Source organism: Homo sapiens, chromosome 3, assembly GCF_000001405.40.
Source record: "Homo sapiens chromosome 3, GRCh38.p14 Primary Assembly".
In the NCBI taxonomy this organism is placed as follows: domain Eukaryota; kingdom Metazoa; phylum Chordata; class Mammalia; order Primates; family Hominidae; genus Homo; species Homo sapiens.
In genome coordinates this window covers 190,384,937-190,398,156 of record NC_000003.12, presented here as the reverse complement: position 1 = coordinate 190,398,156, position 13,220 = coordinate 190,384,937, and the positions used below count along the sequence as shown (strand labels likewise).

General features: G+C 36.2%; 1 protein-coding gene across 4 annotated transcripts in view, besides 1 other annotated feature; it reads right to left on the bottom strand.

The window, feature by feature from the left end:
* The window catches only part of CLDN16 (claudin 16), a 121,778-nt gene that overhangs the window by 13,982 nt on the left and 94,576 nt on the right, over positions 1-13,220 (bottom strand). For 3 of the 4 annotated variants that reach the window (NM_001378492.1, NM_001378493.1, XM_047447333.1), the window contains one exon: positions 9,714-9,920. In NM_001378492.1, coding sequence (NP_001365421.1) covers positions 9,714-9,827 — 114 coding nt within the window. In that variant the 5' untranslated portion in view covers positions 9,828-9,920. Of the gene's footprint in view, positions 1-9,713; positions 9,995-13,220 lie in introns of those variants that run through there. The other variant, NM_006580.4, reaches the window with a different exon arrangement.
* Positions 11,443-11,737: an enhancer, noted in NCBI's record as "tiled region #14389; K562 Activating non-DNase unmatched - State 24:Quies, and HepG2 Activating DNase unmatched - State 9:DNaseU". NCBI's record gives its function as "activates a minimal TATA promoter and a strong SV40 promoter by Sharpr-MPRA in K562 cells, with weaker activity in HepG2 cells {active_cell/tissue: K562 | HepG2}" and the evidence as "EXISTENCE:reporter gene assay evidence [ECO:0000049][PMID:27701403]".

Below are 13,220 nucleotides of genomic sequence, written 5' to 3'. Positions count from 1 at the left end.
GATCTTCTCAAAGCTGACTGCCCTGTAGTGTCTTAATGAACAGGAACACGCTGCATCCAGTTCACTTTAGCTCAAGCTAGGTGATACAAGTTTGAAGGCACTGTGCTGTAAATCAGACAGCGACTCTCCACAATTTCTTACTGTATAAGCCAGCCACTGAAACAAACTAGCCTACTATGGTCATTCCTGTCATACATGACATTATTTAGAAAGTGATCTGAAATGCATATTCAAAAATTCTTATTTTACACAAATAAGAGTATTTCCATCTTGCCAAAATAATTCAGTAGTGGTATCAGTTTCAAGGCTATTGATCATTTACCTGCAATGACCATATTTAGAAAAGCAATGAGCTCATTAGAGAAAACAAGGAATCCAATTTCATTAGGTATTAATGCTCAGGGGCACACTATTAGATGGCTTGGTATTCACACTCAGTTAAGGTACGTGAGAATAGTGGCTGTAATTAACTAAACTTCTGTGTTAATGTAGCACTCACTGGAGACACCCTTAAAGGTGCCTTTGTGCACAAAAGACAAGGTTACAATTTTTCATGTTTTTTATTATATTTAGGAATGCTCTCTGGTATGATTTATCATCTTCATTTACTTATTCCTCTGTTGTAAAATGGCTTATTAGAAACTAAAAAGCAAGCAAATCTAAATTCTTGAAAATTTTAAGACAGGGTTCTTAAAAAAGCAGACTGATGTTTCAAATATCATAGTTAACCTTTCTTAAAGGGTAAAAAATGCAAATGTTAAGTAATAACTTTTAATCTGACAGAGTTGTCTGAAATAGAGGATTATAAATTTAAAATTTCTCCTTCTAACATGCAACTTATATATTGATAAATAACGTTAAAACAATGCTAATTTGTATTGTTTCAATGAATATCTATTGTTCCCAAAAGTGAAGAGTGGATTACCTGCTAAATGGAGAGAGGTAGGTTTATTTAAGGTACAATAATAAAGTAGAAGTCACAAGCATGAGGAAAGCAAAAAATCTCTTAATTAGTTGCCAAAAATGTGTAGAGATTTTACAGAACAGTTCAGATTTCAGGGTTCCCTTAGAAACTTGGTCATTCTGGGTACCTGAACTCACCAGTCTCACAAAGCAACAACTGGCAAGAAAGGAGTGGCTGCTCCCATTTAGGTGGAGCTCAGGCTCACCAGGTTCCCCACAGATCCTACCCAACCTGCCTCTCTCGTGAACGCTGGCTACTTGGTTCCTTAAGGCATTTGAGTTTTCTCTTCCTGGTATATACTAATTATACTAATGAGAATAACTCCTTGCTCTCAACCTGTCAAACTTCTACTTATTATTCAAGCCCCATTTTAAAGACTTCTGTTTTTTCATTAGCCTCCCACCACCCAAGTCTCTCTAGCTGGCATTTATCACTTTCTATCCTGAAATCCCACAGGAATTTGTCCATATTATTATAGCATTTAAAATATTGCATTATCTTTTGTATGTGCAATTATAGGTCATCTGTTATTCTTCAAACTATATTTATTAAATGCCTGTCATTTACTAGTCAACATGCCGACTATATTAATGCTGGAGATACAGCGATAATAAAGACAAACATGGCAGCTGGCTTCAAGGAGCATACAGTCTCTTACTCTTGATACATAATAGGTGCTTAATAAATGTTTAGTGAGGATAAGAAAATCTCAATTTGTCAATCAATTCATATACTCTCATTGGAAGTTTGGAGCAGAAAATGGTTATTATATGCACAGTTGCTACTTAATAAGTGCAATTTCTACTTGACTAAATAAACAAAAACAGCTAAATCCAGAAGCCAAAAAATTATGATTTAGACTGAAGAGCTTACATTGATTTGGTGTCATTCTGGACCTTGTTTACTCAACTGGCTCTGGAAAGTGTTTACCACAGTACTAAAAATGAGTAGGATGTCACTTAAAAGTGTTAGGAAACCATAGAGATGATGACTCTTCCAACTTGAGTTACAGTGACATAAATTAGTTCCTTAATCCTGGGATTTCTTATTCTGGACTCTATAGCAGTCTCCCATTAAGACTTCTCTAACCTAGTTTTTCCCAGTTTCTCTTTTGTTATCAATCTTGAAATATAAGCAGCAACAATTTTGCCTGCCTTGTCTTTTTATGTATCTTTTGAGAATTAGAAACACTAAAAAATACTTGAGAATTAGAGACATTCAACAATGTTCGGCATTTATCTCTTCTCTAGTAACATAGGAAATTATGTCTGTGTGTGTGTCTATCTATCTATCTATCTATGTATCTATCTACAGAGAGAGAGAGAGAGTAAATATACACAGCAGATTTTGTAAATGTTTATTGTTGGTTAACCGCTATCAAGATTATTTTTTGTCAATATGCATTAAGATTATAAATGTACAGACAACTAAAAGAAAATAAGCTATTAAGATATATTATTTTAAAAAACCACCTTGCATATACAAATTGTAAGAATTTATAATTTTCACACCACTTTACTATCCATGTGCTAATATATTTTAACCTTGAAGATGTGACTTTCCTACTTAGATACCTACTTAGTACTTACTTATATTTATTAAGACGCAAAAGTTTTAATAATATTGTAGTAAATAACGTTTGACTACTAAAATTGGAAACATTTTCAATTTTAACATAAAATGCATTTAAATTTTCCAACCAAGACTCTGAACATTTTACCTTTACATTTTATATTATATTTTTTACTATCCCAGGGCCTAAATGGAGTCAATACAGGCCTTAATAAAGATGAGGGAGCAAGACTAAAATAATCATAATCAATGTTGCCTTTTCTTTTTACTTTATATCTTACATTTATAAGATACGAAAGAAAAACATGACTTTATTTGCTAAAATTTATTTGTTTTAGTTCTGGTTATTTGTGGAGCACTGGCTAAAGGTATAAATCATAAGAAATGGGTAATGCCAACTTAGTAGAAAAATAAAATTTTGTGCTCTTCACAGGTATATGACCTACGTTATATATCTGAACTTTCTAAATATTTTCATTTTAACATTTTTAAATGGTTACATACGTTAAAATGTCTTCCTTTTAAAAGTATGGCATTACAACTTTGTAATGATTATTGCCCAGTGATAAAGATCACAATTTATGTTGAGTAAATTATTACAAATTATCAATTTCTTTTTTCTCTCTGTTTTCTTTATTTCTCTCTTTAAAGCACTAAGCAAAAAGCCACATTCTCTAGTCCAGAATATACTCTTCATCAACCTTATTAGATATCCCAAGAATCAGATTTGTATTCCAATTTTATTTTTAAAAATGAACCAAATACATATCCTGAAAATATTTAAATTGTAGCAAGATACGAAATCTTGCTTTAAAAAAATGATCATTTCATTACAGACATACTTCTTATTTAAGGTTCAATGTGAGATTTTCAATAATCACCTCATATCATTAATATATTCATTCTTTCAACAGGTATGCTAAGTGTGTTACTAGGCGCTCTATCAACTCATGTGAGCAAATGCATCATGAGTTCACATTAATGTACATCAGTGCTAGGTACTTAGGAAATCATGAGATAAATAAGAGAACATTTGTAGCCTCAAACATCTGCTGAAAGAGTTTGAAATCAATTGGAAAGTTTAAAAATGGATATAATCAACGGGCATGCTGGATATAATAATTTTAATATTTACTTTATATTTAAAAGAATTGTAATATTAATGCAAATAGAAATCCCAGAAGAGAACCTGATTATACAGATAAAATAAATACTAATGTGAGCAACTTTGTTTTGAGGTAATAAAATTTTAATCATACTAGTGCTCAGTACATAGCAGGTTCTCAATAAATAATTAACAAAGATGAACTGAAAATGAAATCTTCTTGTGAAAACACTTTTTCCTTTTTATAATTGAGAGATCAGTAACTACTGTGTGAAGAAACTATTTCAGTGTAAATAATTAAGAATTGCATATCTTGTAGTTAACATATTAACAATGCTATTATCTCAATTTATTTTCTTTGTAAATGTGAGCATTTGATAAATAACCTTCACTATTTGACTTATTATCTGTCTTATTTCCCTGGTCAGACAAAAAGGAAATAGATGTAAATATAAAAATGGGTGGCCAGCCATGCTGGTTCACACCTGTAATCCCAGCACTTTGGGAGGATGAGGTGGGCGGATCACCTGAGGTCAGGAGTTCAAGACGAGCCTGGCCAATATGGTGAAACCCCGTCTCTACAAAAAATACAAAAAAATTAGCCGGGTGTGGTGGTGCTTGCCTGTAGTCCCGGCTACTCAGGAGGCTGAGGCAGGAGAATCGCTTGAACTCAGGAGGTGGAGGCTGCAGTGAGCCAAGATCATGCCACTGCACTCCAGCTTGGGCGACAGAGAGAGATTCTGATTTAAAAAAAAAAAAAAAAAAAAAGGCAAATGACAGCTTTAGAGGAGGAAACAAAATTTCTCCAAGAGAAGCAATACCAAAAATAGGAATAGAATTTAAACCTTATATTTCTCTGTTCAGCGAACATTATGCAAAATGTCATCTCCTTCTCCAGAACAAAAACAAACCAATAAACTGCAAATAGACAATAATGTATCTAATATTTATTGGCTGATTCATATCTGCCTGCTGCTGTGGCAAATGCTTTAGATACACAAGCTCATTTAATTCTCACAAGAAACTTATGATGTGTGTATTGTTATTCTCTCATTACTGAATAGGAAATGTGGTTTATAGCTATTTAAGAGTCTGTCTAAATTCATACAGCCACTGCCTGGTAAGGTGGGATTTAACCTCAGGTCCCTCTGATATAAAGTTAAATCTATAAACATCTCCATTGTAAAGAATTGTGTTCCTACCTCTAAGTATTGTATAATAAGCTAAGCAGAAAAAAATAGTAGGATGGTTCAGGGACATTGCTCCATGAAGGTTTCTGTATAGATACTAATTTTCATTCATTTAAACTCTTGGTGAGTAACATCACCACCCCTCCAATTGCCCCAGATCAGAAAGGCAGATTTCATCTTTGACTGTGTCTCTTCATCACCTACTTCCCCACATGCAGTCAATTATAACTCTCATCAATTTGACATTTTTAGAGCCTCCCTTATTTCATATTTCTTCATGCTTGCTGTCACTGAAGTACAGACCACTATTGTCTCCCTTCTGGTCTATAACAAAAGTCTCCTAGTTGTTCTCCCCATACCTCATTTTACCCTTCCAATCTCTCCCCACAGATAGCCAGAATGATTAATCTTTCTAAAATACATGTACATATTGCTTACAGCGACAAACCCTTGCCTATGGTATAAGATCTATATTTTACATGTTATGCAAAACTCTTAATGACCCAACCCCTGTATTCTTTTCTCTAAACTGGAAATTCTTACTATGATGAAATATACAAAATACCGCAAACATACAACGCTCTTGTACCTTGACCTCAGTTCCTGCCATTTCCTGAGCTTGGAATACTCTCTACTTCTCCTGCTTCACTCACCTGTTCTTCAAGTCCTAGTTTAGATATCTCTTCTTTTGGGTAGCTTTCACTGGTTATCCAAGACCAAGTGAGCCACTCGCTTAGGGTTTTCATTATCATAGTGTGTGCTACATGGTGCTATAACTGTCGGTTCACCTATTTGTCCCACTCACTACACTGGCAGTAGCCTAGGGAGGCTCCAGGTCTCATCCTACTTCATAACCATGTACCCACCATGGTGCCAAGTATACAGAAGTTGTCAGAGATTATTTGTGAAATGACAAAAGGTAGAAAGAAAAGAGAGAGAAATGAAGGGGTAAAGAGATGAAGAAGAAAGAGAAAGAAAGAAAAAGAAGGATATAGGAGGGAAAGAGAGAGAGTTAAGAAAAGGGAGGAAAAGAGAGAGGGGGAATAAAGAAGAGGAAGGAAGGAACAAGGAAATGAAGGAAAAAGAGAAGTTGGAATGAAGGAAGGGAGAGTGTATGAAGCTACAGAAAAATGGAGGATCCTTCCACTAGATTCCCAATGGAAATGTCTGGAGAAGTGCCAGACACCACCAGTCCATTAGTGAGTGTCCAACTCTCTGAAGTTTCAGACAGTCATGGAGACATGATGTTAAAAAAAAAAAAAAAAAGACTGAAAAGGACCTTAGAAACAACTGAGTTCAACTATACAATTGAAAAAACTGAGCCAAAGACAAGAAATGTGACTTGCTTAATAGAAGGCAGTTAATAAGGGTTAAGATGCAAACATACGCTTGAAAAATCTCAAAACCCAAATTCTCTTCTCCCTATCAGTCTTCTCAGAGACACAAATGAATCAATAATGACAAGAGCAGGATGGTAGCTGAGGGCCTCTAGTCACTGATGTAGGGTTGTGCACATCGTAATTCTGTGTGCTATTTTCTTTCCTAGCATTTTTACCTAATACGAAGAACTTCATTTGAGATAGGTAGAGTGTGGTAGGCAAAAAGAATATCTGAGCTTTTTCTGCCTCCTTCTTTGTGTTGCCCACTTTAGTCCTCTAACAAGCCCTGAGCTTCTCCTCTCTTTGCACTTTTGCCACTCTGTCCCCTTATCTGAAAGGCCCCTGCTGCCATTTCTACAATTTGAAATGCTTTACATCGTTTCAAGGCTTTGCTCAAATGCCTTTTCTTTCATGAGACCTGCTTCGATGGCCCTGATAGGAAGTAATCATCGCATATTTTCTTCCCCAATGATACTTCGTTTATTTCTTGCTCAAAATATGAATTTATTTATGCTTTTTATTATAGTTTCATGTGTATCTTTGTTTTCCCCTCATTAAATGTGCACTCCTGAGAGGCAGGAGCAATTTTTGCTTTATCTTTGTCTCTTCTAGTAGGAGTAGCATCATTCCTTTTATATGATATAATTGTATATATTTTTATACTGAATTGAACCACAAAACTCTTCTTCTAAATCCCGTGCCAACATCATCCAAATATACTAAAAAAAAAAAAAAAAACTGGAAAAGTATAATACTCCTTCTTATTTAAATTGTCTATTGGTATTCCTTTTTTTTCTTAAAAAATCAAAACAAAACAAAACACTTGTTTCGTTGACTTTTGTCCAACAATGGATTAAAGTGAGCTGCTGTGGTGGTTCACTCCTATAATCCCAGTACTTTAGGAGGCCGAGGCAAGAGGATCACTTGAGGCCTGGAGTTGGAGACCAGCCTAGAGAACAGAGAAAGTCCTTGTTCTTACAAAAAATTTTTAAAATTAGCCAGTTGTGGGGACATGCACCTGTAGGCCTAGCTACTAGGGAGGCTGAGGTGGGAGGATGACTTGAGCCTAGAAGTTTGAATCTGCAGTGAGATATGATCACACCAGTACACTCTATCCTGGGTGACAGCGTGAGACCAAATCTATAAAAAAATAAAAATAAAAACATAAAGTGAGTTGTTATATGGACCAAAGGTGATATATAAATGAGGATGGCGGCAAGAAAAGAGAAGAGCAATTGAGCTAGCATCAGAACCTTCAAATTTGTGGAAAATATAAGTTTCTATCCTGGCCTGTTGAAGTAGCAATTATTATAAGAGATTATTGTCTCTTTAAAAATATTGACAACTAAAGAGATTGTTGAAAGAGAAGGGAGCCGGATTTGTTACAGGGTTCTTCTTCTTCTTCTTCTTTTTTAAGATGGAGTCTCGCTCTGTCGCCAGGCTGGAGTGCAGTGGCACAATCTCGGCTCAGTGCAACCTCCTCCTCCCTAGTTCAAGCGATTCTCCTGCCTCAGCCTCCTTAGTAGCTGGGACTACAGGCCCCTGCCACCACACCCAGCTAATTTTTGTATTTTTGTTAGAGATGGGGTTTCACTATGTCGGCCAGGATGGTCTCAATCTCTTGACCTGTGATCTGCCCGCCTCGGCCTTCCAAAGTATTGGGATTACAGGCATAAGCCACCATGCCCAGCCTCTTCCTTTAAATGTGAAGGCTTCTTGGGAATATTATAGCAATACATTTTAAGTATGGGAAATAAGAAGGAAGCTAAGAAATATTAACTATTTTTCAAGGTTAGCAAGGGTTTACTTGAGGTGTGTAACCTGGACTGCTCATTCCATTCGTTTTAACTAGAAGTATTCTTTCATGGGACAGATGGCAAATTGGTTGGTTATACTAAAATGAAAGAAGACACTTTAAATTCCAGGACTCTCAATCTCTCTCTCAGCAAGGTTTGACCCTTTCTAAAACTATTTCTTATCAAATGAAGTTAGCAATTATGTCAGCTTAAGCAGAAAGACTTTTAAATTGTTTTAGAAAATATTTTAACAATGCCCCTAGATGGGATTTTACATTTTTTTGTATTTTAAAAAACATAATTATAATTATGCTCAAGTTAAACATATTTCTGTATTCATCACCTACCACTGGCCATCTAGATAATGGCAAACTAATGACAGCAGAACGTTTTATCTGCACTTTTCCCTGAGCACTGTTCAAAGGGCATTTATTTCATTCTTTGCATATATTCATGGCCAGATAAAATGCATCACTGGGCTCACTTATAGCAGACATCCTTTACAGTAGTTCAATTCTATCACAATTTTTGGAAATGTAATTTTCTAGCATTAAAGAGGTATTCCTAACTCCATTGGTTTTGAAATGCCATGTTCAAGTCAGAGGCAAATTAAAAGCAAGAAAAAGCGAGCAGCAAAAATAATGCACAGCAAAATAGAATCATTATTACTTTCCATTTGGAACTCCAATTTGAGAGTTTAATAAAGAAAATTAGAAGAAAAATATATAAACTCAGTCGAGTATCTTTCTTAAACTTTATAGAGGTGACATTATAGCATTTGCTAGGGTAAATTGTTCCCTTCAGGATGCACATTAAAAAGCAAATTGTTTTGCTATATACTCCTTTTTTTGAGCTCTTGAAATATTGTTTCTTTTTCTTACCTGTGTTTTCCTAAGCCTCATTAATGAACAGCAGCTAATTCTGAAGATTTGATTTTTTACTCAGTTCTGCCTCTCTCAGATTCCTATGGCCACAGGTAATGGTTTTGAACTTCAAAATTACTTCTTTCTGAGCTTCTCCAGCGAGAAAAATAAAATCCTCAAATGTGAACCCACTCACTCATCTTTTGAATAGTAGTCAGTTCCCTAGAGCAACTCATTTTAAGGGAGGATTTAAATCCATGCCTGTCCCCCGTACATTGGGATGCACTGGAAAGACATTTTCTCCCTCAACATTTTTTCTTTTACTTGGAAATCATTAAGATAATGTTTTTTCCTCTTGCATGTTAATTGGGTAGGTTTTGCATGCCTTGCATTTTCTTTCTCAACGTTTTAGATTATTAACACTCCTTAAAAAAAGTCTATCACACTATTCTTAATGCTGTCATCAAGAGTAAAAAATTTATCTTAGAAAAAAGGGTGGTACTGAAATGTTACTCAATATGATATATGCAGCAATGGAAGACGTGAATTTCTGGAGGTCTCAGTAGCAGAGATCACTTAATTACCCTTGTGGAAATTTATCCTTGTGAAAAAAGGAGGAACTATTTAGTAACTTCATCTGTTTAATGGGATAACAAGACCTACCTCATAAATTAACTATGAGGATTAAATGAGCTAATAATGTAAAGACTCAATAAATAGTCCATGTTGCCTATTTTTGGTATCATTAGCCTTAGTAAAGATACTGAATGTTGTACATGGCAGTTGGGACTTAGCGAAAATTTGGGCTGGCCTGGATCATGAAAAGAAGCTGCTATCTTCTTACCTCCAGAGAGTCATCAGCATTCACCATCCAACAGTCAGTCCAGGTGGCCACAATCAAAAACCCAGCAGAGAAAAAGGCAAAGAAGCAAGCGATGTATTGAAGAAGATCCCTCATTGTGGCAAGCAGCCCATCAGGATGGCAACATGGGCAGACACCAGCCCTGGCCCCACTTAAGTGGCGGGTGTCAGTCTTCTGTGTTTCTGGTACCTGGCAATGTGAAAATACTGGTCTTTTACTTTTTCTCACGCCCTGCTGCAGGTGTCTTGAGTTGCAGTAAGAATAATACAAACAGGCTGTAACCAACAGTGGGGTCCTGGAGGTCATTATCCGAAGCAACCAGCCTCCAATCAGAAGGCAGGTCAGTGCAAGGGCTGAGTGTGTTTCGGGTGGGGGAGAGAGGAGTTCTGTAACGTTTTCTGACCCAACTGTGGGCTAGTGGTGGTCACCAGACCAAGTGCCAGTGCCAAGACGGGGGAAGGAGGAAGGGTCCCACCCCATGCTGGAACCTGTAAACTGATCTTTCTTAGGCCCTCTAGGGAGAGTGAGCTATTCTCCTCCCCACTCGGAAGAAGGCTACACGGTTGACTGAGTGTTATTTTATTGTTAGGACTATTTTAATATTCGCCGACTACTTTAGACAGACAGGCCACTGGTGAAACTATGCTAAACAAGTGCTCGCTCAAGGGAGTCTGCATTCCAAAGTGTTGCGTAGAACAGCCCCATGAAGGACTTGTAGCACCTGGGCAGTAGGGACAGCCAAGGCTCCTAACCTTTCAGCATCGTAGAGTGGGAACAAGTGTGCATTTTAATGCAGACAGCTCTGGGTGGAAATTCTTGCTCTGAATTTATGGTCTGAGAGCCCTTGGGCTGTAGTTTCTGAAAATGCATGTATTAATATTTTCTTTATATAATGCTTGTTCTTCATATGAGGAATAAAAGATATTGTGCCTGTAAGTCGCTTAGAATAGCATCTGTCAGTAATAGCTAAATGGAAAATATTAACATGACTAAGAATTTCCTATATTATTACTTTTCCCTCATGGACCAATGTTTGAAAACGCGTCTAATGAAGAAAAAAAAACTGTTATATTAGGAAGAAAGTGTGTTTCTTTTTTGTAAAAAAAAGTTTTTAATATGTAACTGGGGCAACTGGAATTTTATCTGTATCTGAATAGGTATCCTTAATGGGTCTACAAATTCCATAACCAATACTCTTTAATATGCTTTAAAAAGCACATATATCAACATTTTCTCTTCATCAGGTAGACTTCTATATACTAAAATAAAAATTTTGAATGAGAACAGTAAAAACAAAGTGGTGATTCTTAATGTAGGAGAGAATGTCAAAGGGGAGACAGAGTGAGAGAAAGAAATTGGGAGGGAGAGAAAGAAAGGAGCAGAGAAAAGGCCAGAAAGAGGTAATTACTCTGGCATGAATCAGCTACTAAGATTCTTATTTTACCAACAGCTTATAAAAGGATTACTTTTTTCCATTTGAAAATTATTTGATCATAATATACAGTATAAAAGGCTAAAATCAGTATTGATAAACCATTTTTCAAAATATATTACAATAATAAACTTTTTGTGGCTAAACTTTGTTTTTTCTAATTTTAATTCATTTTATTCAAGTATATAAAACGTAAATTTAAATGTAAAAGCTGCATGGAAAACCATAGGTGGAATATAAGCTTAATTATTTCTATACATAGGGTCTACAGTACCACCCCTGCTATCCAGAATTTCCCTTTTGAGGCTTCAGTTACCAGTGGTTAATCATGGTCTGCAAAAATTACATGGGAAATTTCATAGATAAACAATTCATCAGTGGTAAATTGAACACTGTTCTGAATAGCGTGATGAAATCTCAAGCCATCCCACTTCACATGGGATATGAATCATCCCTTTGGCCAGCATTTCCACATTGTATGCACTACCCACCCCTTAGTCACTTAATAGCTGCCTCGGTGATCTGACCTACTGTTGCGTATAGTGTGTGTAGGATCCAGTACTGTCCTTCGTTTCTGACATCCACTGAGGGTCTTTGAACATATTCCTCAAGGAGAAGGGGTGATTACTGTACACATTAGCGATCGTTATAACTATCTGCGAGGTACATTACAGATGCTTTTATTTTACTTATTTTGTTTAACAGTTGGAAAAAAAATACCTGTTTTTTAAGTGCTCATTCAAAGAATGTCATTGCCCACGGAATACAAACATGCTGCTTTGGTGAGTCACAGAGAATCTTTCCCTGTGCCCTAAAATCTGAAATGCTATTAAGATTTACTCTGCTGATCTGGGAGAGCAAACCAATTCCAAAAGCACATGCCCTTTGCAGGAAAAGTCCTGGACTTGTTGCTGACATTTCACACAGGGACTTTTCACAGTGTACTTTACCTGCTAACAGTGCACTCCAAGGCAGTAGTTCTTCAACCTGAGTGTACACTGGACTCTGTAAGGCCACTTGTTATAAATGCAAACCCAGGAATTCCACTCCCAGACATTTGGATTCAGGAAATTGGGAGTGGAAGCCAGGAATTCATATTTTACATGTGTTTTGTATAAAATTCTGATTTTGAAACAGATGGCCATACTTTGAGAGATGAGTTTAGAACAACAAAAGAAAAACAATTTTTTAAGAGTTATATACTACAAATCACAGACAAAGTTTTAGAAAAGAGGGTATCAGAATTCCATCTTTGCTACAAACTCTTCCCTAACTAGCACCAATAGGTCCCAAATCCAAATATCAGAACTTAATGGAAAGAAATAAAGACCAAAAAATGCTAAGCATATGCATTCTCATATGCAAACACACACATGTGCATACATATCTCTGGAAATCATAGATTCTTTCACAAAAAAAAAAATCTAGACTATAGCATTCATTCGCTCCTAATGGTCACTGAACATTGTATGTGATAGGGAGTGGGGAATTATTCAGGTGGCTATAGAATTGTTCCTGAATTTAAGTTTACTACTCTTAGAGAATAACATAAAACATTCAGGCTTGCATGTGAATTTCTGTGAGTGAGGCCATAATGTAATAGGAGATACAAAAAGGAGAGTCATGCAAACTGATAGAGCAGTAAACACTTCATGGATGGGATGTGAGTGCACTTCTAAGAAATGTGTAGGGTGTTGTGAGGATGGAGGGCACAGATGCAGAATAAACTGCTCACCAATCTATATAGACACATCTCTTTTGCATTCTGACCCTCCCTAGGCTTCAACATTTTGGTTTATCAACTCTTTTATAGTTTAATTCCATTCCATCCAGCACACATTTATGAACAGTGTACTCTGACTCTAGTACTTTCTCTTGGGACACAGAGAAAATAAACGGTTGGAAGAACTCATCCTAGTCCTTGAGAGGTTTACTCTTCAGTGAGTGGACCAGAAGCAGGAAGTAAAGAACTCCATTCAGGTAATTCTGACAACAGTCTTAAGCTATAATACCACTCCCAATAAGAGTATATAGGCATATTAGTTAGAAATATGATG